Source organism: Homo sapiens, chromosome 10 (genome assembly GCF_000001405.40).
Source record: "Homo sapiens chromosome 10, GRCh38.p14 Primary Assembly".
NCBI classification, from domain to species: domain Eukaryota; kingdom Metazoa; phylum Chordata; class Mammalia; order Primates; family Hominidae; genus Homo; species Homo sapiens.
The window spans coordinates 722,805-749,692 of record NC_000010.11 but is presented as its reverse complement, the minus strand read 5'-3'; the positions used below and the strand labels follow the sequence as shown (position 1 = coordinate 749,692).

The following is a 26,888-nucleotide window of genomic DNA, read 5'->3' as shown; positions in this document are numbered from 1 at the left end:
CAAGTCTTTGCTATTGTGAATAGTGCTGCAGTAAACATACGTGTGCATGTGTCTTTATAGCAGCATGATTTATAGTCCTTTGGGTATATACCCACTAATGGGATGGCTGGGTCAAATGGTATTTCTAGTTCTAGATCCCTGAGGAATCACCACACTGACTTCCACAATGGTTGAACTAGTTTACAGTCCCACCAACAGTGTAAAAGTGTTCCTACTTCTCCACATCCTCTCCAGCACCTGTTGTTTCCTGACTTTTTAATGATTGCCATTCTAACTGGTGTGAGATGGTATCTCATTGTGGTTTTGATTTGCATTTCTCTGATGGCCAGTGATGGTGAGCATTTTTTCATGTGTTTTTTGGCTGCATAAATGTCTTCTTTTGAGAAGTGTCTGTTCATGTCCTTCGCCCACTTTTTGATGGGGTTGTTTGTTTTTTTCTTGTAAATTGGTTTGAGTTCATTGTAGATTCTGGATATTAGCCCTTTGTCAGATGAGTAGGTTGTGAAAATTTTCTCCTATTTTGTAGGTTGCCTGTTCACTCTGATGGTAGTTTCTTCTGCTGTGCAGAAGCTCTTGAGTTTAATTAGATCCCATTTGTCAATTTTGGCTTTTGTTGCCATTGCTTTTGGTGTTTTAGACATGAAGTCCTTGCCCATGCCTATGTCCTGAATGGTAATGCCTAGGTTTTTTTCTAGGGTTTTTATGGTTTTAGGTCTAACGTTTAAGTCTTTAATCCATCTTGAATTGATTTTTGTATAAGGTGTAAGGAAGGGATCCAGTTTCAGCTTTCTACATATGGCTAGCCAGTTTTCCCAGCACCATTTATTAAAAGGGAATCCTTTCCCCATTGCTTGTTTTTCTCAGGTTTGTCAAAGATCAGATAGTTGTAGATATGCGGCGTTATTTCTGATGGCTCTGTTCTGTTCCATTGATCTATATCTCTGTTTTGGTACCAGTACCATGCTGTTTTGGTTACTGTAGCCTTGTAGTATAGTTTGAAGTCAGGTAGTGTGATGCCTCCAGCTTTGTTCTTTTGGCTTAGGATTGGCTTGGTGATGCAGGCTCTTTTTTGGTTCCATGTGAACTTTAAAGTAGTTTTTTCCAATTCTGTGAAGAAAGGCATTGGTAGCTTGATGGGGATGGCATTGAATCTGTAAATTACCTTGGGCAGTATGGCCATTTTCACGATATTGATTCTTCCTACCCATGAGCATGGAATGTTCTTCCATTTGTTTGTATCCTCTTTTATTTCCTTGAGCAGTGGTTTGTAGTTCTCCTTGAAGAGGTCCTTCACGTCCCTTGTAAGTTGGATTCCTAGGTATTTTATTCTGTTTGAAGTAATTGTGAATGGGAGTTCACTCATGATTTGGCTCTCTGTTTGTCTGTTGTTGGTGTATAGGAATGCTTGTGATTTTTGCACATTGATTTTGTATCCTGAGACTTTGCTGAAGTTGCTTATCAGCTTAAGGAGATTTTGGGCTGAGACAATGGGGTTTTCTAGATATACAATCATGTCATCTGCAAACAGGGACAATTTGACTTCCTCTTTTCCTAATTGAATACCCTTTATTTCCTTCTCCTGTCTAATTGCCCTGGCCAGAACTTCCAATACTCTGTTGAATAGGAGTGGTGAGAGAGGGCATCCTTGTCTTGTGCCAGTTTTCAAAGGGAATGCTTCCAGTTTTTGCCCATTCAGTATGATATTAGCTGTGGGTTTGTCATAGATAGCTCTTATTATTTTGAAATATGTCCCATCAATACCTAATTTATTGAGAGTTTTTAGCATGAAGGGTTGTTGAATTTTGTCAAAGGCCTTTTCTGCATCTATTGAGATAATCATGTGGTGTTTGTCTTTGGCTCTGTTTATATGCTGGATTACATTTATTGATTTGCGTATATTGAACCAGCCTTGCATCCCAGGGATGAAGCCCACTTGATCATGGTGGATAAGCTTTTTGATGTGCTGCTGGATTCAGTTTGTCAGTATTTTATTGAGGATTTTTGCATCAATGTTCATCAAGGATATTGGTCTAAAATTCTCTTTTTTGGTTGTGTCTCTGCCCGGCTTTGGTATCAGAATGATGCTGGCCTCATAAAATGAGTTAGGGAGGATTCCCTCTTTTTCTATTGATTGGAATAGTTTCAGAAGGAATGGTACCAGTTCCTCCTTGTACCTCTGGTAGAATTCGGCTGTGAATCCATCTGGTCCTGGACTCTTTTTGGTTGGTAAGCTATTGATTATTGCCACAATTTCAGATCCTGTTATTGGTCTATTCAGAGATTCAACTTCTTCCTGGTTTAGTCTTGGGAGGGTGTATGTGTCGAGGAATTTATCCATTTCTTCTAGATTTTCTAGTTTATTTGCGTAGAGGTGTTTGTAGTATTCCCTGATGGTAGTTTGTATTTCTGTGGGATCGGTGGTGATATCCCCTTTATCATTTTTTATTGCATCTATTTGATTCTTCTCTCTTTTTTTCTTTATTAGTCTTGCTAGCGGTCTATCAATTTTGTTGCTCCTTTCAAAAAACCAGCTCCTGGATTCATTAATTTTTTGAAGGGTTTTTTGTGTCTCTCTTTCCTTCAGTTCTGCTCTGATTTTAGTTATTTCTTGCCTTCTGCTAGCTTTTGAATGTGTTTGCTCTTGCTTTTCTAGTTCTTTTAATTGTGATGTTAGGGTGTCAATTTTGGATCTTTCCTGCTTTCTCTTGTGGGCATTTAGTGCTATAAATTTCCCTCTAGACACTGCTTTGAATGTGTCCCAGAGATTCTGGTATGTTGTGTCTTTATTCTCATTGGTTTCAAAGAACATCTTTATTTCTGCCTTCATTTCGTTATGTACCCAGTAGTCATTCAGGAGCAGGTTGTTCAGTTTCCATGTAGTTGAGCGGTTTTGAGTGAGATTCTTAATCCTGAGTTCTAGTTTGATTGCACTGTGGTCTGAGAGATAGTTTGTTATAATTTCTGTTCTTTTACATTTGCTGAGGAGAGCTTTACTTCCAAGTATGTGGTCAATTTTGGAATAGGTGTGGTGTGGTGCTGAAAAAAAATGTATATTCTGTTGATGTGGGGTGGAGAGTTCTGTAGATGTCTATTAGGTCCGCTTGGCGCAGAGCTGAGTTCAAGTCCTGAATACCCTTGTTAATTTTCTGTCTCAATCTGTCTAATACTGACGTTGGGGTGTTAAAGCCTCCCACTATTACTGTGTGGGAGTCTAAGTAATAGAGCTGTGGTGGGCTCCATCCAGTTCGAGCTTCCCAGCTGCTTTGTTTACCTAAGCAAGCCTGGGCAGTGGTGGGCGCCCCTCCCCCAGCCTCGCTGCCGCCTTGCAGTTTGATCTCAGACTGCTGTGCTAGCAATCAGAGACTCCGTGGGGTAGGACCCTCCGAGCCAGGTTCAGGATATAATCTCGTGGTGTGCCGTTTTTTAAGCCCCTCGGAAAAGCGCAGTATTCGAGTGGGAGTGACCCGATTCTCCAGGTGCCGTCCGTCACCCCTTTCTTTGATTAGGAAAGGGAACTCCCTGAGCCCTTGCGCTTCCCAAGTGAGGCAATGCCTCGCCCTGCTTCGGCTCGCGCACGGTGCGTGCACCCACTGACCTGCACCCACTGTCTGGCACTCCCTAGTGAGATGAACCCGGTACCTCAGATGGAAATGCAGAAATCACCCGTCTTCTGCGTCGCTCCCAAATGCTTCTTTTTGCATCATACGCTTTCTTCGCTTCTTCTGGGACTCTGGTAGCATGAATATTAGACATTTTGATGTTGTCCTATGAGTCCCTGAAGCTGTCATTTTTTCAGTCTTTTTCTGTCTCTGTTTAGGTTGGATAATTTCTGTTGGTCCTTCTTCAAGTTTGCCGTCTTTTTCCTCTGTCATTTCCATTCTTCTGCTGAGACTATCTGTTGAGTTTTAATTTTTCCATGATAGTATTTTGTTAAAATTTTTTCCATTTGGTGTTTGGAAAGGCAGTCACATGCATGAAGTCCTTTGACCCCCTTTAGGCTGCATAAAGATGAGCATTGGGCCTGGAATACTTCCTTACCATGAGGTAACGAGCCCACGCAGCCTGTGTTGGGCTCATCACCTTGGGTGGGAATATCTTTCCCTTTTTCAAGCTCCATGTGTGCTTTCTAATTTAATTTAATTATTTATTTATTTTTTTGAGACAGAGTTTTGCTCTTGTCGCTCAGGCTGGAGTGCAGTGGCGCGATCTTGGCTCACTGCAACCTCCACCTCCCGGGTTCAAGTAAAAACCTGGGGCTGGGCGCGGTGGCTCATGCCTGTAATCCCAGCACTTTGGGAGGCCGAGGCGGGCAGATCACGAGGTCAGGAGATCGAGACCATCCTGGCTAACACAGTGAAACCCCATCTCTACTAAAAATACAAAAAATTAGCCAGGTGTGGCAGCATGTGCCTGTAGTCCCAGCCAGTTGGGAGGCTAAGGCAGGAGGATGGTGTGAACCTGGGAGGCAGAGCTTGCAGTGAACCAAGATCGCACCACTGCACTCCAGCCTGGGTGATAGAGTGAGACTCCATCTCAAAAAAACAAACAAAACAAAAAAACCTGGGACACTCCCTAGTAGCTGGGATTATAGGCATGCACCACCACACCCAGCTAATTTTTGTGCTTTTAGTAGAGACAGGGTTTCAACATGTTGGCCAGGCTGGTCTTGAACTCCTGACCTCAGGTGATCCACCCACATTGGCCTCCCAAAGTGCTAGGATTACAGGCAAGAGCTACTGTGCCTGGCCTTATATTAAGTAATTTTGGATTGTATGTTGGACAATTTGAATATTATGGTACAGTATTTGAGGTCTTGTTTAAGTCTTATGAAAATTGTACATATGTTTCAAGTCAGATCTATGCATGCATAGTTCAGAGGTGAGCCCAGACGTTCATAAACAGCTTCATGGATTTGGTGTTCTGAGCTCCTTTTCCTCCACGATGTCCTGGTGTTCTGAGCTCCTTTTCCTCCACAATGTCCTGGTGTTCTGAGCTCCTTTTCCTCCATGATGTCCTGGCACTTTTCAAATGTGCTGGAGCTCCCCATTTCAATCCTCCAGTCAGAAAACTGGAACTTTCTTCACCTTGTCCTGCTGTCCACCTCATGCCACTGCTCCTGCATCCAGGGCCAGCCAACCAGAGAAGAGAAGAAAGGAAACTGAGGTGTGTCTCCACCCAGCCCAGTGCCTCCACCCAGCCCAGTGTCCCCACCCAGCCCAGTGCCCCCACCCAGCCCAGTGTCCCCACCCAGCCCAGTGCCCCCACCCAGCCCAGTGCCCCCACCCAGCCCAGTGTCCCCACCCAGCCCAGTGTCCCCACCCAGCCCAGTGCCTCCACCCAGCCCAGTGCCCCCACCCAGCCCAGTGTCTCCACCCAGCCCAGTGCCTCCACCCAACCCAGTGCCCCCACCCAGCCCAGTGCCCCCACCCAGCCCAGTGTCCCTACCCAGCCCAGGGCCCCCACCCAGCCCACTGTCCCCACCCAGCCCAGGGCCCCCACCCAGCCCAGTGTCTCCACCCAGCCCAGTGTCTCCACCCAGCCCAGTGTCCCTACCCAGCCCAGTGCCACCACCCAGCCCAGTGCCCCCACCCAGCCCAGTGCCACCACCCAGCCCAGTGCCATGGCTCCTCCACGTGGAGAGGAAGGTCTGGCTGCCCACCAGTTTAAGCTCCTGTGGGTGGGTCCTTCTGGCTGTTGTTGCCACTGCTGCCACCACAGAATTACTTAGGGATTAGGACGTGAGCGAATATATACATATATACATATTTGTAATGGGAAATTTCTGAGTGTTAGGAGACCCCTTTCTAATGACTCAACCCAAAACTTGAGGGCATCTGTGGCTGTCTGTATCCATACCCTGTAGTCTAGATTTTAGGCTGTATTGAGTCTAGGCTGGATGACGCTGAAGGAAAACATGGTAAACTCACTGCCCGTTCATGATATTTAAAATTCTGTTCTTCTTCCCAATGTGCCTGTTACTATTTACTGTTCAGAGACTTCCATTCGCTGCTCCATACGTCATATTCAGGTTGTTTAATAGCTGCTGCATTTAGTGGGAAAGACAGGAAGGAGAGTTCCTTTAGAACAGGAACCGGGATTCGACACCCTTCACTCTCACATCCAATCACAGCTGCCGTTTTAATACGTCACATGAAATGTGGAAACTCCACAGTCACATAGGTCAGTATTTCTCCCGCCCACATTCTTTATGGTATCGTTGTTAGACGTATTTTATTTACACCTATTATGAACTCCACAAGGTAATGTTGTAGTATTTGCTTTAAACAGTCACATGCAGTATAAAAGAATTAAAGGCAATAAAGAAAAAAACATCTTTTGTATTTGCCCAGATATTTACCATTTCTTCTGCTCTTCATTCACTTCTAAGGATCCACATTTTCATCTCATCTCAACTCCTTTCATTCTGAAAGAAATTCTTTTAGCATTTCATGTTGTGAGAGTTTACTGGTGAGAAATTGTTTTCTTTGACATGAAAACGTCTTTCTTTCTCTTTCTTTCTTTCTTTTTTTTGAGAAGGAAAACACGGTAAACTCACTGCCAGTTCAGTGATTGATTGACTGATAGATTTTTGACACAAAGTCTTACTCTGTCGGCCAGGCTGGAGTGCAGTGGTGTGATCTTGGCTCACTGCAACCTCCACTTCCCGGGTTCAAGCAATTCTTCTACCTCAGCCTCCTGAGTAGCTGGGATTACAGGGACCCACCACCATGCCCAGCTAATTTTTGTAGTTTTAGTAGAGATGGGGTTTGACCATGTTGGCCAGGCTGGTCTCGAACCCCTGACCTCACGTGATCCAGCCACTTTGGCCTCCCAGAGTGCTGGGATTACAGGCATGAGGCACTGCGCCCGGCCTGCTATTCGTCTCCTGAATTACAATTTCAAAGCTGTTTTATATTTTTAGATCCTGTCAAGGGTGGTGTGTTCTCGCTCTCTTTCCTCATTTTCTAGGCAGACGCACTGCCGGTTACAGGTGAGCTGTCGTGCCTTCAAGGTTCATCCTTCTGTTTATGCTGCCACTTGGCTAAAAATCTATTTTAATTCTTTTCATTTGATTTCATTTTCATTTTATGGAGAAAATTGTAGCCGCCGTAAATAACGACTGAATCTTCTATTTTCATTTCCCTTCCTGTTGGAATATCTCATCTTTTGCTGTTTACTCTTCACTGGAAGCTCCTCCCCACGACCGACCCCCTAAGCCTCCCCAGACCACGCCATGGCCGCCTGAAGATGGACGCGTGGCCTGGTGGGGGGTGTTTAGCACACAGTAGGGTCGTCTCATTTATTTCTTCTCCAACTTGACCAGTTCAGTTAAAATGGCCAAGAAGAGCACACCCTAACAACAAAGCTTTGGAAGAGGTTTTTAGGTAAAAGCAGTAAGAAAGGCTTCGCCAGAGACTGCTGCTGAAAACAGATGAGGTGGAACTAATTTCCAGTGCTAGATTTTTGGTTGTGGTAAGAACAAAGTTGAACAGAGTTTTATTTTAAAATTATTCAGTGAAAGTACAATGAAAATAATCTAAGTTTTCTTGGCTGAAATGGCAAACTAAGGAATTAAGGTAATTACATGGATAGTTCAAATCAAAATTTGCACTTGGAACATCTGGATAATTAAGTACAAAATGAAGGTTTTCTTTTCTTGAATTACCTGCAAAACTGTTTAATCTTCCGTTTCACCTTGATGTATGTAACAGTGGTCTAGGCAATAATATTTTTTGAAAGAAACCGGTAGAGAAACAGGGAAAGTATCGGAAGAGGTAATTCACAGAAGAAATTCAAATAGCCAATATACATATGGAAATAAGTTATACCTCAATATTAGGCTGGGAAATCAAAGTGAAAGAAATGATTAATATGATTTTTTAAACCTATCAGATTAGCAAACATTTAAAAAATTAGTATCCAATGTTGGTAAGCCTGTGGTGAAGTAAATGTTCTCATCTACCATTGGAGGGACTGCACATTAATTCACATGATTTGGAGTGTGGGGTAGATGGCAACATGGCCTCCATCAACACCTTCCACCTGGAAGTCTGCAGCAATCTCCCCTGAGACTGTGGCTCACGTCTGCATACAATAGGATATTATTTAGACTTAAAAAGAACTTATTTTGCAAGAAAATATTGAGGTGAGAATTCTGTAGGTACTCTTTAAATAATAGTACATGAGTTCAATAGTTAGGTTTTTTTTTTGACCCAGTTAATGATTTCTTTTGCTATTTGTATTAAAGTGTGTGGGATGTACGGATGAGTTGAAATGTGTTTCTAATGTTAATATATAGGTAGGTTTAATGTTATATAGTTGTGATTAATGGGTCATTGAAATATGAGTCTTTGTTAATTGTTTGGATTTTCTCATGGGCCTTTGTGGCAGGTCTTTAGGTGTCCTCATTATGTATGTATTCTGCCTTTTGTTCTTATGGTAATGCTATGTTTCTGTGTAAAAGACTTTCTTTCAGCTGGGTGCGGTGGCTCACACCTGTAATCCCCGCTACTCGGGAAGCTGAAGCGGGAGGATCTCTTGAGCCCAGGAGGTCAAGGTTGCAGCGAACTATGATCCGCACCACTGCACTCCAGCCTGGGCAGCAGAGCGAGACCCTGTCTCAAAAAAAAGTCAGTTTTATTCTCTTTGCTAATAAAGAATCAGAGTCAATTTATGTCTGTAAAATTTACCATATAGTCTCATATGGATTATTATTTCCACCTGTCACCCTTTTATCATTATTTCTGGCTGTTTTCACAGTTCACTTTGAATTAAGGAGGGAGACCTGTGAGGGCACAGCAAGTCGTATTTGAGCTGAGGGAGAAAGAATTCAGTCTCAGCATCAAGTATGGTGACAGCTGGGGATTTTGCTTAAAGCAGGCTGGGAAAAGAAGGAAATTCGAACGCAGGCTGCAACACGGATGAACCTTGAGGACGTCGTGCTGAGGTGAATTAAGCCAGACACAGAGGACAAAGGGGCAAACGCTACATGATTCCACTCACAGGAGGTCCCTGGAGTTGCGTGAGATGCACAGAGAAAATGGAAGGGTGGGTGCCCGGGGCTGGGGGAGGTGGGCAGGGAGCAGGTGTTTAATGGCAAAGAGTTTCTGTTTGGGAAGACAGGGCCCTGGGGATGATGGTGGTGATGGTCGCACAGCAGTGCGTGTGTGCTTGGTGCCACTGAACTGTTCACTTAAAAGTGGTTAATTTTATGTTATATGTGTTTTGTTTTTTGTTTTTGAGACGGAGTCTCACTCTGTCGCCAGGCTGGCGTACAGTGGTGCCATCTCGGCTCACTGCAACCTCCGCCTCCCGGGTTCAAGTGATTCTCCTGCCTCAGCCTCATGAGTAGCTGGGACTACAGGTGCCCACCACCACGCCCGGCTAATTTTTTTTTTTTTTTTTTTTTTTGAGACAGAGTCTCACTGTCACTCAGGCTGGAGTGCAGTGGCACAATCTCGACTTAGTGCAACCTCCACCTCCCAGGTTCAAGTGATTCTCCTTCCTCAGCCTCCCAAGTAGCTCAGGTTACAGGCATGCATCAGCACACCCAGTTAATTTTTGTATTTTTAGTAGAGATGGGGTTTCACCATGTTGGCCAGGCTGGTCTTGAACTCCTGACCTCAGGTGATTTGCCCTCCTTGGCCTCCCAAAGTGCTGGGATTACAGTCATGAGCCACCATGCCTGGCCTGTTACGTGTATTTTATCACAATAAAAATAACAACTAATGGAAATAAGTAATAAATCCTCAGCATAAAATAAATTCAAAAAATATAAAAAGTGTAAAGTGACAAGTGAGATGCTCCAGTTCTCCCGTCCTTCCACCATGTGACACTGACACATGCGATCAGTTAGAAGTTAACCCCGTTAGACTTCTCCCATGTGCTCATGTGCACATGCACACACAACACACACAGACACATACATGCACAGACACACAAACACAGACACACACACAGACACATACACACACGCCCAGACACACAGACACATACATGCACAGACACAGACACATACATGCATGGACACACACAGACACGCACACAGACACATACATATATGCACAGACACACAGACACATACATACATGCACAGACACACACACAGACACATGCACAGACACACACATGAATGCAGACACATACATGCACTCACAGACCCATACATGCAGACACACAGACATGCACATGTACAAACACACTCAGACATACATGCACACGCAAACAGAGACACATACATGCACAGACACATACACACACATGCACACACATACAAACATACATACATGCACAGACACACAAACAGACACATGCAGACACATACATACATGCACACACACAGTGTTTTTTGTTTAAAAATGAGGTTATATATTATTCTGCCACTTTGTTTCTTTACTTTATAACATATCACAGGTGTTTCTTCCTGTCTGAGGCTAGGTATCTTTTACAATTATTTCCTGAGCAAGACACTTGTGAGACCTCAGTCTCAGAACACCACCTCCTCATATCCACCTTTTTAAGACCTTAGAATTGTGCCCAGCACACAACAGATGCATGTGGGATGCTGGATACATGGACACAACCCTGAGGATCACATGTGCCTCAAAGGACCCAAAGACGAGTTGTGGTTTATGGATCAGGTGACCCAGGCTGTAATGCAATGCGTCCTTAGTGGCAAAATTAAAACCTGGATGTGTTACAGGTGCTTTTAGTTGAAAGTTTATTTAATTGAAAGTTATTCCCTTAAGACACACAGTTTACACACATCATGCTTAGAGTCTGGAAGTAAAATTCACATCCTATTTTGGATGGATTCATTAGACTTTCCCTCACACACCCCCCAATGGTTTCCTTGTGTTGATCTTTGGATATTCAAGATAAAGTGGCTTAGTGATGCTAGATCTGCAGCCTCACTCTGTCCCGGGTCTGGAGCCTCACTCTATCCGGGTCTGGAGCCGCACTCTATCTGGGTCTGGAGCCTCACTCTATCCGGGTCTGGGAGCCTCACTCTATCCAGGTCTGGAGCCTCACTCTGTCCCGGGTCTGGAGCCTCACTCTATCCGGGTCTGGAGCCGCACTCTATCTGGGTCTGGAGCCTCACTCTATCCGGGTCTGGGAGCCTCACTCTATCCAGGTCTGGAGCCTCACTCTGTCCGGGTCTGGAGCCTCACTCTGTCCCGGGTCTGGAGCCTCACTCTGTCCCGGGTCTGGAGCCTCACTCTGTCCGGGGTCTGGAGCCTCACTCTATCCGGGTCTGGAGCCTCACTCTATCCGGGTCTGGAGCCTCCCTCTGTCCCGGGTCTGGAGCGTCACTCTGTCCCGGGTCTGGAGCCTCACTCTGTCCCGGGTCTGGAGCCTCACTCTGTCCCGGGTCTGGAGCCTCCTTCTATCCGGGTCTGGAGCCTCCCTCTATCCGGGTCTGGAGCCTCACTCTGTCCGGGTCTGGAGCCTCACTCTATCCGGGTCTGGAGCCTCACTCTATCCGGGTCTGGAGCCTTACTCTATTCGGGTCTGGAGCCTCACTCTGTCCCGGGTCTGGGGCCTCCCTCTGTCCGGGTCTGGAGCCTCCCTCTATCCGGGTCTGGAGCCTCACTCTGTCCCGGGTCTGGAGCCTCCCTCTATCCGGGTCTGGAGCCTCACTCTACCTGGGTCTGAAGCCTTACTCTATCCGGGTCTGGAGCCTCCCTCTATCCGGGTCTGGAGCCTCCCTCTATCCGGGTCTGGAGCCTCACTCTACCTGGGTCTGAAGCCTCACTCTACCTGGGTCTGGAGCCTTACTCTATTCGGGTCTGGAGCCTCACTCTGTCCCGGGTCTGGAGCCTCACTCTGTCCGGGTCTGGAGCCTCCCTCTATCCGGGTCTGGAGCCTCACTCTGTCCGGGTCTGGAGCCTCACTCTATCCGGGTCTGGAGCCTCACTCTATTCGGGTCTGGAGCCTCACTCTGTCCCGGGTCTGGAGCCTCCCTCTGTCTGGGTCTGGAGCCTCCCTCTATCCGGGTCTGGAGCCTCCCTCTGTCCCGGGTCTGGAGCCTCCCTCTATCCGGGTCTGTAGCCTCACTCTAACTGGGTCTGAAGCCTTACTCTATCCAGGTCTGGAGCCTCACTCTATCCGGGTCTGGAGCCTCACTCTATCCGGGTCTGGAGCCTCACTCTATCCGGGTCTGAAGCCTCACTCTACCTGGGTCTGGAGCCTCACTCTATTCGGGTCTGGAGCCTCACTCTGTCCCGGGTCTGGAGCCTCACTCTGTCCCGGGTCTGGAGCCTCACTCTGTCCCGGGTCTGGAGCCTCACTCTATCCGGGTCTGGAGCCTCACTCTGTCCGGGTCTGGCGCCTCACTCTGTCCGGGTCTGGGAGCCTCACTCTGTCCCGGGTCTGGAGCCTCACTCTGTCCCGGGTCTGGAGCCTCACTCTGTCCCGGGTCTGGAGCCTCACTCTATCCGGGTCTGGAGCCTCACTCTATCCGGGTCTGGAGCCTCACTCTACCTGGGTCTGAAGCCTTACTCTACCCGGGTCTGAAGCCTCACTCTATCCGGGTCTGGAGCCTCACTCTGTCCCGGGTCTGGAGCCTCACTCTGTCCCGGGTCTGGAGCCTCACTCTATCCGGGTCTGGAGCCTCACTCTATCCGGGTCTGGAGCCTCACTCTACCTGGGTCTGAAGCCTCACTCTATCCGGGTCTGGAGCCTCACTCTGTCCCGGGTCTGGAGCCTCACTCTGTCCCGGGTCTGGAGCCTCACTCTACCTGGGTCTGAAGCCTCACTCTACCTGGGTCTGGAGCCTCACTCTGTCCCGGGTCTGGAGCCTCACTCTGTCCCGGGTCTGGAGCCTCCCTCTATCCGGGTCTGGAGCCTCCCTCTATCCGGGTCTGGAGCCTCACTCTGTCCCGGGTCTGGAGCCTCACTCTGTCCCGGGTCTGGAGCCTCACTCTACCTGGGTCTGGAGCCTCCCTCTATCCGGGTCTGGAGCCTCACTCTGTCCGGGTCTGGAGCCTCACTCTGTCCCGGGTCTGGAGCCTCACTCTGTCCGGGTCTGGAGCCTCACTCTGTCCCGGGTCTGAAGCCTCACTCTATCCGGGTCTGGAGCCTCACTCTGTCCCGGGTCTGGAGCCTCACTCTGTCCCGGGTCTGGAGCCTCACTCTGTCCGGGTCTGGGGCCTCACTCTGTCCCGGGTCTGAAGCCTCACTCTATCCGGGTCTGGAGCCTCACTCTGTCCGGGTCTGGAGCCTCACTCTGTCCCGGGTCTGGAGCCTCACTCTGTCTGGGTCTGGAGCCTCACTCTGTCCGGGTCTGGAGCCTCACTCTACCTGGGTCTGGAGCCTCCCTCTATCCGGGTCTGGAGCCTCACTCTGTCCGGGTCTGGAGCCTCACTCTGTCCCAGGTCTGGAGCCTCACTCTGTCCGGGTCTGGAGCCTCACTCTGTCCCGGGTCTGAAGCCTCACTCTATCCGGGTCTGGAGCCTCACTCTGTCCCGGGTCTGGAGCCTCACTCTGTCCCGGGTCTGGAGCCTCACTCTGTCCGGGTCTGGAGCCTCACTCTGTCCCGGGTCTGAAGCCTCACTCTATCCGGGTCTGGAGCCTCACTCTGTCCGGGTCTGGAGCCTCACTCTGTCCCGGGTCTGGAGCCTCACTCTATCCGGGTCTGGAGCCTCACTCTGTCCCGGGTCTGGAGCCTCACTCTGTCCCGGGTCTGGAGCCTCACTCTATCCGGGTCTGGAGCCTCACTCTACCCGGGTCTGGAGCCTCACTCTACCTGGGTCTGGAGCCTCACTCTATCCGGGTCTGGAGCCTCACTCTGTCCCGGGTCTGGAGCCTCACTCTGTCCCGGGTCTGGAGCCTCACTCTGTCCCGGGTCTGGAGCCTCACTCTGTCCCGGGTCTGAAGCCTCACTCTACCTGGGTCTGGAGCCTCCCTCTATCCGGGTCTGGAGCCTCACTCTGTCCCGGGTCTGGAGCCTCACTCTGTCCCGGGTCTGGAGCCTCACTCTGTCCCGGGTCTGGAGCCTCCTTCTATCCGGGTCTGGAGCCTCACTCTATCCGGGTCTGGAGCCTCACTCTGTCCGGGTCTGGAGCCTCACTCTGTCCGGGTCTGGAGCCTCACTCTCTTCGGGTCTGGAGCCTTACTCTGTCCCGGGTCTGGAGCCTCACTCTGTCCCGGGTCTGGAGCCTCCCTCTGTCCGGGTCTGGAGCCTCACTCTGTCCCGGGTCTGGTGCCTCACTCTGTCCCGGGTCTGGAGCCTCACTCTGTCCTGGGTCTGGAGCCTCACTCTATCCGGGTCTGGAGCCTCACTCTGTCCGGGTCTGGGTGCTGGTATCCTGGGTCTGGGTGCTAGTTTTCAACTTCAACTTCAGGGAAATTGCTGTGCTTCCATTTTTCTCCTTTTCCTCTTTTTTTTTTTTTTTTTTAAACTTGGTTTTATTTTAGGTTCAAGGGATACACGTGCATGTTTGTCCCATGGGTGTATTGCGCACTGAGGGGATTGAGCTTCTAGAGTGCCCATTACCCAAACGGTGAGCGCTGCACCTGACAGGTAGTTTTTCATCCCTCGCCCCCATTCCTCCCTCCCCCTTCTCAAGTCCTCAGTGTCTGTTGTTTCCTTCTTTATGTCCATGTGTACCCACCATTTAGCTCCCACTGATAAGTGAGAACATGCAGTATTTGCTTTTCTGTTTCCGAGTCAGTTCATTTAAGATAATGGTCTCCAGCTCCAACCACGTTGCTGCAAAGGATGTGGTTTCATTCTTTTGTATGGCTGCATAATATTCCATAGTTTGGATGTGCCACGTTTCCTGTATCCAGTCAACCATTAATGGACGCTTAGGTTGGTTCCATGAGTTTGCTACTGTGAGTGGTGCTTTGATAAACATACAAGTATGGGTGTCTTTTTTGTATAATGATTTCTTTTCCTTTGGGTAGATGCCCAGAAGTGGGATTGCTGGGTAGGATGGTAGCTCTATTTTTAGGTCTTTGAGAAATCTCCATACTGTTTTCCGTAGAGGTTGAACTAATTTACATTCCCAGCAAAGGGCATAAGCATTCCCTTTTCTCCACATCCATGCCAACATCTGGTGTTTTTTTTTTTTTTTTGACATTTTAATAGTCATTCTGACTGGTGCAAGATGATATCTCGATGTGGTTTTAATTTGCATTTTTCTGATGATTTGTGATATTGAGCGTTTTTTCATGTGGTTGTTGGCCATGTGTATTTATTCTTTTGAGAAATGTCTGTTCGTGCCCTTTGCCCAGTTTGTAATGGGGTTTGTTTTTTCTTCTTGTTGTTTGAGTTCCTTGTCATTTCTGATATTAGTCCTTTGTTGGAGGCATAATTTGTAAATATTTTCTACCGTTCCATTTCTTGTCTGTTCACTCGGTTGATGATTTCTTTTCCTGCACGTTTCAGTCTTTCATCCATCTGGAGATAATTTTTGTACATGATAAGAGATAGGAGTCCAGTTTTATTCTTCTGGATATTGACAGCCAGTTTTCCCAGCAGCACTTATTGAATAGGATGTCCGTTTCTCATTGTTTATTTTTGTCAACTTTGTTGAAGATCAGTTGCAGGTATGTGGCTTTATTCTGGGTTCTCTATTCTATGCCATTGATCTATGTGTCTATTTTTGTACCAGTACCACGCTGTTGTTACTATAGACTTGTAGTATAATTTAAAGTCAGGCAACGTGATGCATCTGGATTGGTTCTTTTTGCTCAGGAGGAATGCTTTGGCCATTCAGGCTCTTTTTTGGTTCCATATGAACTTTAGGATTGTTTTTTCTAATTCTGTGAGAAATGACATTGGTACTTTGATAGGGATTGCATTGAATCTGTAGATTGCTCCAGGCAGTATGGTCATTTCGATGATACTGATTCTTCCAATTCATGAGCATGCGATGCTTTTCCATGTTTTTTGTGTCATCTACAATTTCTTTCATCGTGTTTTGTAGCTCTTCTTGTAGAGATCTTTCATCTCTTTGATTAAACGTATTCCTAGGTACTGTATTGTTTTTGTGGCTATTATAAATGGAATTGAGTTCTTACACCCCTCCCTGTCCCACCTCGCTGTACACTCAGACACACTCAGAAACACATGTACATACACACTTACGCTCACACTGAACTCACACACTTAGACATGAGTGTATGACATGACGTCTTTCACACACACCCACAAACTCTCACAAACACACATGTACACACACACAAACATACAAAACATGCACACTCACACTCGAACACACACATTCACATGCACTCACCCTCAGACACACACAGTACCTTTGGGATATAAAAACAACTCCCAGTCTCCCTCCTCGTGGAAGAAAAACTGGTCTCAGATGGGATTGGGAGAAAATTCAGCCGCAGGACATCAGAGCAAACCAAGCTGCCGACTGCCCACGAGCACGAGGGAGGAAGAGGAGGAGCGAGACAGGAGGAGGGAGGGAGTGGGTAGGGAGAGAAGGAGAAGGAAGAACGAAGGAAGAAAGGAGGGAGAGAGGAAGGGAGGAAAGATGACAGGTGGGAAGGAGGGAGAGAGGAAGGGAGGAGGGAGGGAAAAGAACCGGGTTAGCAAAACATGAAGAACCCAGGCTAGAAGAAACATTGCAAAAGGAACAGAAGTAAATTCCCTTCAGGGCTTCCCACTTGCTGTGGAAAATATTATTATATGAATGAAATAAAACAGCAGTTCAAAGACGAGATGGCAAAACAACAGGAAGCCGTGGAGAGCTAAGGAAACAATAGCATCAACAAAACAAAACCTTCCCGGTTAATTTAATTTAATTACAAACAAGGGAAGAATAAACATGACTGGAAAGTCAAGTTAAAGGGGAACTTGAGATGATGAAAGAGACAGCGGGAAACGCCCAGGAGCCGAGAGCGGTGGCTCAAAGGTGGAGAAGGAGAAGGTGTGTGTGACCCATGCGAGGACAATGCGCCCTGGATAGCGACTTCAGAGAAGGAGCAGAACACGTATTCAGAGATAGCAGAGAAGAGATTTTCCTTTCTAGAGACATCTTGAATAACATTCACCACATGTTGACAGTGTTTATTTCTGATCAGTGGAATTTGGGATGATATTGGTTTTTTAAAAACGAGACTTTCTGGTATTGCTCCAAGTTTTAAATGTACATATATCATTATTTAACAAATTCATTACCTAAAATGTGTGTGCCAATGGAGATAAACAGCTGACTTCAGACAATGAGGGAAGCTTTTTGCTTTTCATTTATCCTAAAAATTTGAGCAGACCACGTTTTGAAATGTTCATCTCCATCAAATAAATAAATCCTCCATAATATTTATTTCCAATTTCTATATTTTTCAATGTTTTCCTTTCAACTTTTAGGTCTGGGCATACACGTGCACGTTTGTTGCCGCAGGTAAATTGCGTGTTGCTGGGGTGTGGGTTACGAATGACCCTGTCGCCCAGGCACTGTGCACAGTACCCGAGAGTGAGCTTTCAGCCCTTGCCCTGCTCCCTATCCCCCTGGTGTCTCCAGTGTCTGTGGTTCTCATCTTCGTGTCCATGTGTGCTCAGTGGTTAGCTCCCACGTGAACATGAGAACGTGCGGTATTTGCTTTTCTGTTCCTGTGCTCGTTTGCTAAGGATGATAACCTCCAGCTCCATCCATGTTCCCATAAAAGACATGATCTTGTTTTTTCGTGGCTGCGTAGTATTCCGTGGTGTGTATGGACCCCATTTTCTGTATCCCGCCCACCACTAATGGGTATCTAGGTTGAGTCCATGTCTTCGCTAACATGCGAGTGCAGGTGTCTTTTTGGTAGAGAGATTTGTTTTCTTTTGGATACATACCCAGTACTGGGACTCCTGGTTGGAATGGCAGCTCTGTTATAAGTTCTTTGAGAAATCTCCAAGCTGCTTTCCACAGTGGCTGAATTAACTTACATTCCCACCAACATCGTATATATAAGTGTTCCCTTCTCTCTGCAACCTCACCAACATCTGTTATTTTTTCTTTTTCTTCCCCTCCTTTCCTTTCCTTTTTTTTTTTTTTTTTTAAGATAAGGTCTCACTCTGTTGCCCAAGCTGAAGTGCAGTGACACAATCTCAGCTCACTGCAACCTCAAACTCCTGGGCTCAAGTGATCCTCCCGTCTCAGCCCTTCAAGAATCTGAGACCACGGGCACGTGCTACCACGCCCAGCTAATCTGTATTTTTTGTAGAGATGGAGTCTCACCATGTTGCCCAGGCTGGTCGCAAACTCCTGGCCTTGAGCTGTCTTCCTGCCTCAGCCTTCCAAAGTGCTGGGATTATAGGCATGAGCCACTGCACCTGGCCAGAAAAAAAATGTGGTTAAAAGTTTATAGATAACCCTCACTTTAATAATGGGTAAAATAAGCTATACAAAGTCTGTTAGCACTCACGTCCCAGCTGGAGAAAGGTCTTTGAATATCAGTTTCGCACAAGGTTTGAGTAGGGGTCTATTAGCCTCTATTTAATACATTGTACTCAGTTTGAGTAGGGGTGCATTATCCTCTATTTAAATATATTGTATTCAGTTTGAGTAGGGGTCTGTTAGCCTCTGTTGAATTAGGTTGTACTCAGTTTGAGTAGGGGTCTATCAGCCTCTATTTAATTACATTGTACTCAGTTTGAGTAGGAGTCTATCGGCCTCTATTTAACTACATTGTACTCAGTTTGAGTAGGGGTCTGTTAGCCTCTGATGAATTACATTGTACTCAGTTTGAGTAGGGGTCTATTAGCCTCTATTTAATTACATTGTATCCAATCTGTGTTTACACAAATTTCACAACTTTTTTATGGCTCCATGAAACAACAATGACTTTTGGTAGATTTTTCTTGTCTCTTCTGTTACATGGCCTTCATTTTTTTCTTTAATATCACCCTTATATCTGTCTGAGCTGGGAATAAGTTAATAAACCGTCTTTATTCAACACTGATTCTCAGAAAAGGGCAGAGGCAGGTCAAGGCCTAGATTTTCTGATTGCGACATAGAAATAGGATTGCCTGAAAAACTCAATAAATCTCTCCACTTTTCCAATGGGAAATTATTTGAAGAACAAGGCACAAAAATCTTCAAATATTGTCTCGATGAAATCACATAACTGCTTCTTATTAAACTTGTAAGACACTTTACAAAGAGTAATTTTACTCTTAATGGCACATTAATGCAGGTATTTGCCAAATCTGGACCAAATGCATCTCTTGTTTGCTGCTATTGAATAAAAGAGAGGGAGGAAAAAATACTGATAGTAAGGCCGCCACTCCTACTATTCTACTTGCGAATAAAGAAAGAATAGGCCAGGCATGGTGGCTCACGCCTGTAATCCCAGCACTTTGGGAGGCTGAGGCGGGCGGATCACGAGGTCAGGAGATTGAGAACATCCTGGCCAACATGGTGAAACCCCATCTCTACTAAAAATACAAAAATTAGCCGGGCGTGGTGGCACACACCTGTAGTCCCAGCTACTCAGGAGGCTGAGACAGGAGAATCGCTTGAACCCGGGAGGTGGAGCTTGCAGTGAGCAAAGATCGCGCCACTGCACTCCAGCCTGGCGACAGAGCAAGACTCCGTCTCAAAATAAATAAATAAATAAAAAAGAATATTTTACCCAGGAGTTTTATTTGACTTCGGAAAAGGAGAACATGCAAACACAGCCTTGAGTGTCACTCAGCTGCCAGGTTTCTCAGGATCAAATACAGAAGGTCAGGCGGGGGGTAGTGCCTGGTGTCAACGCTCATGCAGTCATGATGGACGGCAGAGGGGACTCCAGAAGACGCTGGCAAGGACGGGAGAGGGCACGTCAGCAATGCAGCCACCCCGCCCGACTCTAAGAAAAAGCTGTTGCTGAAGCTCAGGGCAGAGGGTCCCGTGAGGCGTGCGTGCCCTCACTGATGCTGCAGCCCCAGAAGGCATGGTCACGTTGTCTCGGTCTGGCAGCCGCTCTGGCCTGCAGCAGCCCCCACAGTGTGATCTGCTAGAGGTCCGCAATCGTCCCAGGTGTTAGCTTCAAACCCCAGACAGGTGGAAGCTCCTTGCTGAGGGGGCCTGGTTTCCACAGCCCCTGTGCACTGTACAGCCCTCCCTCGGGTCGTCGGGCACACAGTGGCATCAGGAATGTTTTCTGCTTGCCATCAGCTGGTGGATGTGCAAAGCAATCAGAAGTTCTCACTGGCAGCCTCAGAGCTGGCTTAGGAGTGTCTGACTTGCTGATTTTTAGGGTTTTCCGCAGAGACACAGGCACTATAGGAGCTCTTCCCAGGACGGCCCACAGAACCAGGTGCACAGCAGAGCAGCCAGATGACCGGCAGGTGTGCCCTGCAGCTGCGTCTGTCCTGGTCCTGCCACTCACGCTGCAGAAATCATAGCCTGAGACATGTTTTATGACAAGTTCTGGAAAATTGCAGTGAAGCATTTTGTTCTAGTCAGGGCAGCGTATCACAACCCCTCTGTGTGCAGTGGAGATGGCGTCTTCAGGAAGGGCACGGCAGCATGGGGAGGGCTGGGGCGGGCACAGTAGCACAGGGAGGGTGGGGGAGAGCATGGTGGCACGGGGAGGGCTGGGGAGGGCACGGCTGCAGGGGGAGGGTCAGGGAGGGCATGGCGGCACGGGGAGGGCATGGCAGCACAGAGAGGGTGGGGGAGCGCATGGTGCAGGGGGAGGATTGGGGAGGGCATGGTGGCACAGGAAGGGCATGGCAGCACAGAGAGGGTGGGGGAAGGCATGGTGTCTTGGGGAGGGTCGGGAAGAGCATGGTGGTACAGGAAGGGCACGGCAACACAGGGAGGGTGGGGGAGGGCATGGTGGCACAGGAAGGGCATGACAGCACAGAGAGGTTAGGGGAGGGCATGGTGGCTTGGGGAGGGTCAGGAAGGGCACGGTGGTACAGGAAGGGCACAGCAGCACAGGGAGTGTCAGGGAGGGTATGGTGGCACAGGGAGGGCCAGTGGGGAGCTGCTCTCCCAGGCCCAGTGGGTGACACGCCCAGGCCACAGCAGCAAATGGGCCTTCTGGAGTCCAGGCCTGGTGGAGGAGCCGGGCTAGAATTCTGCAGGCTCATGGCTCACCCGACAGCCAGACTAACTCCAGACACACGAACCAGGCCACGGGGACCAACCAGCCACACCTGTGCCCCAGAGGTCTGAAGGGCACAAGTGACCAGCAGAACTGCTCAGCAGCCTGGAGCAGCTCAAACGCCAACCACGGAACCGTGGGCAAACGCGGTGGCTGTGTCGGCCACTCAGTATTAGAGTTGTTTTGGGGTAGTTGCCATGCGTGGTGAATACAGATCCAGGCATCTTTTTAAATTATTATTATTTATTTATTTTCTCTTTTTTTTTTCCACGATGGAGTCTCACCCTGTTGCCCAGGCTGGAGTGCAGTGGCGCAATCTCAGCTCACTGCAAACTTCACCTCCCGGTTCAAGTGATTCTCCTGCCTCCGCCTCCTGAGTAGCTGGGATTATAGGTGCACATCACCACGTCCAGCTAGTTTTTATATTTTTAGTAGAGATGGGGAATTCACCATATTGGCTAGGCTGGTCCTCAACTCCTAACCTCAGGTGATGCACCTGCCTTGGCCTCCCAAAGTGCTGGGATTCAGGCCTGAGCCACCGCGCCCGGCTGAGATCCAGATACCTTTGCTGCATTTGCACGAAGGGACTAGGTGGGCTAGTGGCTGGGTATAAAGGACCGTCACTTAACAGCCATTTAAATAAAAGTGTTGCCGCTAAAAAAATGCCTGGCAAACCTGTTCTGGTTAAATGTCTTGCTTAACTGAAATTTCTAGCATAAATAAAAATCCACTTTTTTAGAGAATTTGAAATTTGTGATATTCAAATACAGGATAGTAACGTGTACAAAACGTGTGTCACATTAGAGCATCCTCCGGCTGCCCAGGATATGCTCAGGGATGATGGCTTCATCCGATCGAATTCACAGAGTGGGCCTGTTGTTCTCATTTGAGACTGAGTCCATTCTTTCCTCTTCCATGAAGACTTTTCCCCAACAGTTAAATATTTCAGTTTCACCTGTTGTTGTTTCACAGCTCAACATGAAACATCAGATATCCCTCTTTGTCCCCCTGAGGATATTAGCTAGGTAGATTCTTAACATGTCCTGCTCCAATTCTAATATTAGCTCTGCTGCCCTGGCGGCAGCTTCTCTCCTGTTGCAGTGTTTCCCTGCAACGGTGCCGGCTTTCCTTGGAGTTTGGTGACGATTGATATGGATGTGGCTTTGTGGTTGGCTGCCTGCCCAGCTCCCAGGGGCGAGGGGCTCCTCCTGCCCCAGCCCTGCCTGTCAGTGCCCCCGCCTGTGGCCCCACCGACCGTCCCATCCACCCCATCTGTCCACATGGAGTTCACACGTGTCTGAGCCCTTCTTGTTCTTCAGGTCAGTCCGGATGCCTCAAATAACGTCTCTATCATTTCTGTAGCTCTGGTGTGGGAAGAATGAACATGAGGGCATGCTCAGGCCAGCACCTTCATGCTTTAACCGTGGTGCAGGTGTGTGCCTCGTGCTTCAGGAACACCGTGACATCTACCACCCAGGTCCACGCAGACACGTGTTGTCCTGCGAGGCCTGAGAGGCAGATGTACACAGTGGACAGAGGGAGCCTGGCCTGGCCCTCCAGCCTCCCCCAGCACTGCCCCTGGCCAGCATGGGCTGGCCCCGGGTGACCGTCCAGCGAAGGTCATCGAGCCACAGCAAGGGTGAGAGTGGGACCGAGTCTCCAGAGTACGCGCCTCCAGCGTCCACTCCACGCCATCTGCACGGTGGTGGTTGGTTAGTGGATGGGTAAGCTGAAGGGTGCGTGAATGATACGGTGCTTGGTGAGTGGATGAGTGAGCTGATGGGTGCGTGAATGATACGGTGCTTGTGAGTGGATGGGTGAGCTGATGGGTGCGTGAATGATATGGTGCTTGGTGAATGGATGGGTGAGCCGACGGGTGTGTGAACCATACGGTGCTTGTGAGTGGATGGGTGAGCCGATGGGTGCCTGAACGATACGGTGCTTGGTGAATGGACGGGTGAGCCGACGGGTGCGTGAACGATACGGTGCTTGGTGAGTGGACGGGTGAGCCGACGGGTGCGTGAACCATACGGTGCTTGTGAGTGGACGGGTGAGCCGACGGGTGCGTGAACAATACGGTGCTTGTGAGTGGACGGGTGAGCCGACGGGTGCGTGAACGATACGGTGCTTGTGAGTGGACGGGTGAGCCGACGGGTGCGTGAACGATACGGTGCTTGTGAGTGGACGGGTGAGCCGACGGGTGCGTGAACGATACGGTGCTTGTGAGTGGACGGGTGAGCCGACAGGTGCGTGAACCATACGGTGCTTGTGAGTGGACGGGTGAGCCGACGGGTGCATGAATGAATATGGGAGAACACAGGGTGGCCGTCGTCATGGGGCTGGGTGAGGCTCGTCTCAGGGTAAGCAGCTTCACCAGGGAGGGTTGTGGTCTTGCTCAGTCCTGGAGGTGGCTGGTGTCTGCCCCACAGCTGCTGGCCATGAGGACATGCTCGGCCCGGGCACATCCCCTCCACACCCTCAGTTCCTAGGCATGACGCTGCGTTTTGATGAATGTGAGCTGAAATATGCTGTTTTGAGTAGATCAGACACAGTCAGTGTTTCCACTGCACAGCAGCTCGGGAAATGAGGGAAAAGGCGAAGACCAGGACAGTGAAAGGCTGAGGAAGTCAGGGAGGGTGGGGCCGATGGGACTTCAGAGGCCAGCAGGGATGTGGGCTGGGCCTGGTGAAACATAGGGCTGAGGCTTGGGCAGCGCCCACAGGGAGGACCAGGGAGGGGGCCGCACCCGCCTTCTGCGCCTCTCAGCTAGGGCTTTTCCTGCAGAGTAATGTCAGCGAGAACGTGCTATGAACATGCAGACACCCAAAGCAGGGAGTGGTGCTTTCCCAGGATCTGCAGGCAGAATATTCGGGTCCGGGGCAGCTGCTGGGTGGGCTCCAGACACACCCTGCTGGGCTCTGGGCAGGGCTGCTGCCTGGCCCTGGGAAGGGCTGGTGGTCGGCAGGCCCTGGGACCCTTGGGGCCGGCACTGTGCTGTTAAACATCCAGGACCCTCCACAATCGAACAAGGACTGGAGGCTACATCAGAAAGCGTGTGTTTCATCAACATAAATCCAGGTAGAACTCGTATTTGGCTCCATCCACGGCCCTCCCATTGCAGGCCGACGCCAGCCCAGCCCCGGAACTGATCTCATCTTGCAGGAGTTTCTGAAAGAGCTGGAGATGCTTCTACCCCTCCTAGGAATACTACAGGTTTCTAAACATAGAGGAAATGCACCAGCACGTTTTCCTTTAAGCTTCTGAAACCCAGATATCAAAAACAAATAAGTTAACGGGTAATTATTTTCTTTACTCGACCCAAGGATTTATATAGAAAGTTTATATTAAGATGGAATTTCATCTACAAAAGTTTGATGTGCCTAGATTTTATTTTATTTTATTTATTTTATGACAGAGTTTTGCTCTTGTTGTCCAGGCTGGAGTGCAATGGCAAGATCTCGGCTCACTGCAACCTCAGTCTCCTGGGCTCAAGTGATTCTCCTGCCTCAGCCTCCTGAGTAGCTGGGATTACAGGCACCCATGACCACGCCCAGCTATTTTTTTGTTTGCTTATTTATTTATTGAGATGGAGTTTCCATCTTGTAGCTCAGGCTGCAGTGCAATGGCATGATCTCAGCTCACCACAACCTCTGCTTCCCAGATTCAAGCGATTCTCCTGCCTCAGCCTCCCAAGCTAGGATTACAGGAATGCACCACCACGCCTGACTAACTTTGTATTTTTAGTAGAGACAGGATTTCTCCATGTTGGTCAGGCTGGTCTCAAACTCCCAACCTCAGGTGATCTGCCTGCCTTGGCCTCCCAAAGTGCTGGGATTACAGGCGTGAGCCACCATGACCGGCTATTTTTAATATTTGTTCGTAGATGTGGTTTCACCATATTGGCAGGCTAGTCTCGAACTCCTGACCTCAGGTGATCCACCCGCTTCAGCCTCCAAAAGTGCTGGGATTACAGGTGTGAGCCACTGCGCCCGCCTGCCTAGATATTAAATAACGTAAACACTCAACACAGATTGGACCCCCTCCTAGATTGATGCAGGATGTCTGCTTTAGTGAAGCATGGCCTTCGTGGGTCTGAGAACAGCCAGACGGCCACCCTGAGCTTCGTCTGGAGTGACTGGACCGGGCAGCTGAACTGACTTGCTGCAGCCGATTGCACAGGGTGGGTTTGTGGCAGGAACCTGGACACACTGATCCGAGAGAATGGGAGATCAGAGAGCACTGTGGGGTGTTGGGGGTCCAGAGGGACGGAGGCTCTGTCTCCCACCACCGCATCCCCAGAGCTGAATACCAGTGTCCAACACATAGTAGGTGCTCACTAAACATGTACTGAACGTGTGGACAAATTCAGGGGAGAATGGATACACAGAGCACTTGTGTGTGAAGCAAAAGCCCAGGATTCCACGTTCTGTCTGTTACGTCCTGGCCACGTGACCATCTCTCCACACAGTGGTACCCCTGACACGTACTGTATCCATGTCACGTGATGCTGGGCATGGTGATGATGGCGTGACCTTTTCCCACACAGTGAAACCCCTGACACGTACTGTATCCCTGTCACATGACGCCGGGCGTGGTGATGATGGCGTGACCTTTTCCCACACAGTGATACCCCTGACACGTACTGTATTCCTGTCACATGACGCCGGGTGTGGTGATGATGGTGTGACCTTTTCCCACACAGTGATACCCCTGACATGTACTCTATCCATGTCACGTGACGCTGGGCATGGTGATGATGGCGTGACCTTTTCCCACACAGTGAAACCCCTGACACATACTGTATCCCTGTCACATGACGCCGGGCGTGGTGATGATGGTGTGACCTTTTCCCACACAGTGAAACCCCTGACACGTACTGTATCCCTGTCACATGACGCCGGGCGTGGTGATGATGGTGTGACCTTTTCCCACACAGTGATACCCCTGACATGTACTCTATCCATGTCACATGACGCCGGGCATGGTGATGATGGTGTGACCTTTTCCCACACAGTGATACCCCTGACATGTACTCTATCCATGTCACGTGACGCTGGGCATGGTGATGATGGTGTGACCTTTTCCCACACAGTGATACCCCTGACATGTACTCTATCCATGTCACGTGACGCTGGGCATGGTGATGATGGTGTGACCTTTTCCCACACAGTGATACCCCTGACATGTACTCTATCCATGTCACGTGACGCCGGGCATGGTGATGATGGCGTGACCTTTTCCCACACAGTGAAACCCCTGACACGTACTGTATCCCTGTCATGTGACGTGGGGAGTGGTGATGATGGTGTGACCTTTTCCCACACAGTGATACCCCTGACATGTACTCTATCCATGTCACGTGACGCTGGGCATGGTGATGATGGCGTGACCTTTTCCCACACAGTGAAACCCCTGACACGTACTGTATCCCTGTCATGTGACGTGGGGTGTGGTGATGATGGCGCCACCGTTGCTCAGCGTGCTGCACGGGCATGTCCCCTGTTGCTGTCTGTCTCTCGCCACTAGAATTCATCCTCCACAAGGGCGGCAACTTTGTTTTGTTCACTGCTGATTCCCAAGACCTCACACATCAGTTAGCTACAGCAGGTGTGCAGTCCGTGTGTGCCGAATGAATAGAGTGAAAGAGTTCTGGTCACCTCCCCTGGTTTCCAGTGCCCTAGTTTTGTGCTCATTCCTATCTTATCGGTGGTTGTGGCGATGCTGAACAGAAACGTTATGTTAATAACAAGGCCCAGAATTAATGCTGGTAGCTGGCGGGCAGTGGGAGTCACTGCCACATGGACAGTTGTTACCAGCATTTCAGGTGGTGTTGAGTAAGG

General features: G+C 48.9%; 3 annotated features.

Annotated features, from left to right (window-relative positions):
- Window positions 2,949–3,448: an enhancer, noted in NCBI's record as "H3K4me1 hESC enhancer chr10:792185-792684 (GRCh37/hg19 assembly coordinates)". NCBI's record gives its function as "activates a minimal SCP1, AML or CMV promoter by ChIP-STARR-seq in naive and primed H9 embryonic stem cells {active_cell/tissue: H9 hESC(naive and primed)}" and the evidence as "EXISTENCE:reporter gene assay evidence [ECO:0000049][PMID:30033119]".
- Window positions 3,449–3,950: an enhancer, noted in NCBI's record as "H3K4me1 hESC enhancer chr10:791683-792184 (GRCh37/hg19 assembly coordinates)". NCBI's record gives its function as "activates a minimal SCP1, AML or CMV promoter by ChIP-STARR-seq in naive and primed H9 embryonic stem cells {active_cell/tissue: H9 hESC(naive and primed)}" and the evidence as "EXISTENCE:reporter gene assay evidence [ECO:0000049][PMID:30033119]".
- Window positions 23,388–23,888: an enhancer, noted in NCBI's record as "H3K4me1 hESC enhancer chr10:771745-772245 (GRCh37/hg19 assembly coordinates)". NCBI's record gives its function as "activates a minimal SCP1, AML or CMV promoter by ChIP-STARR-seq in naive H9 embryonic stem cells {active_cell/tissue: H9 hESC(naive)}" and the evidence as "EXISTENCE:reporter gene assay evidence [ECO:0000049][PMID:30033119]".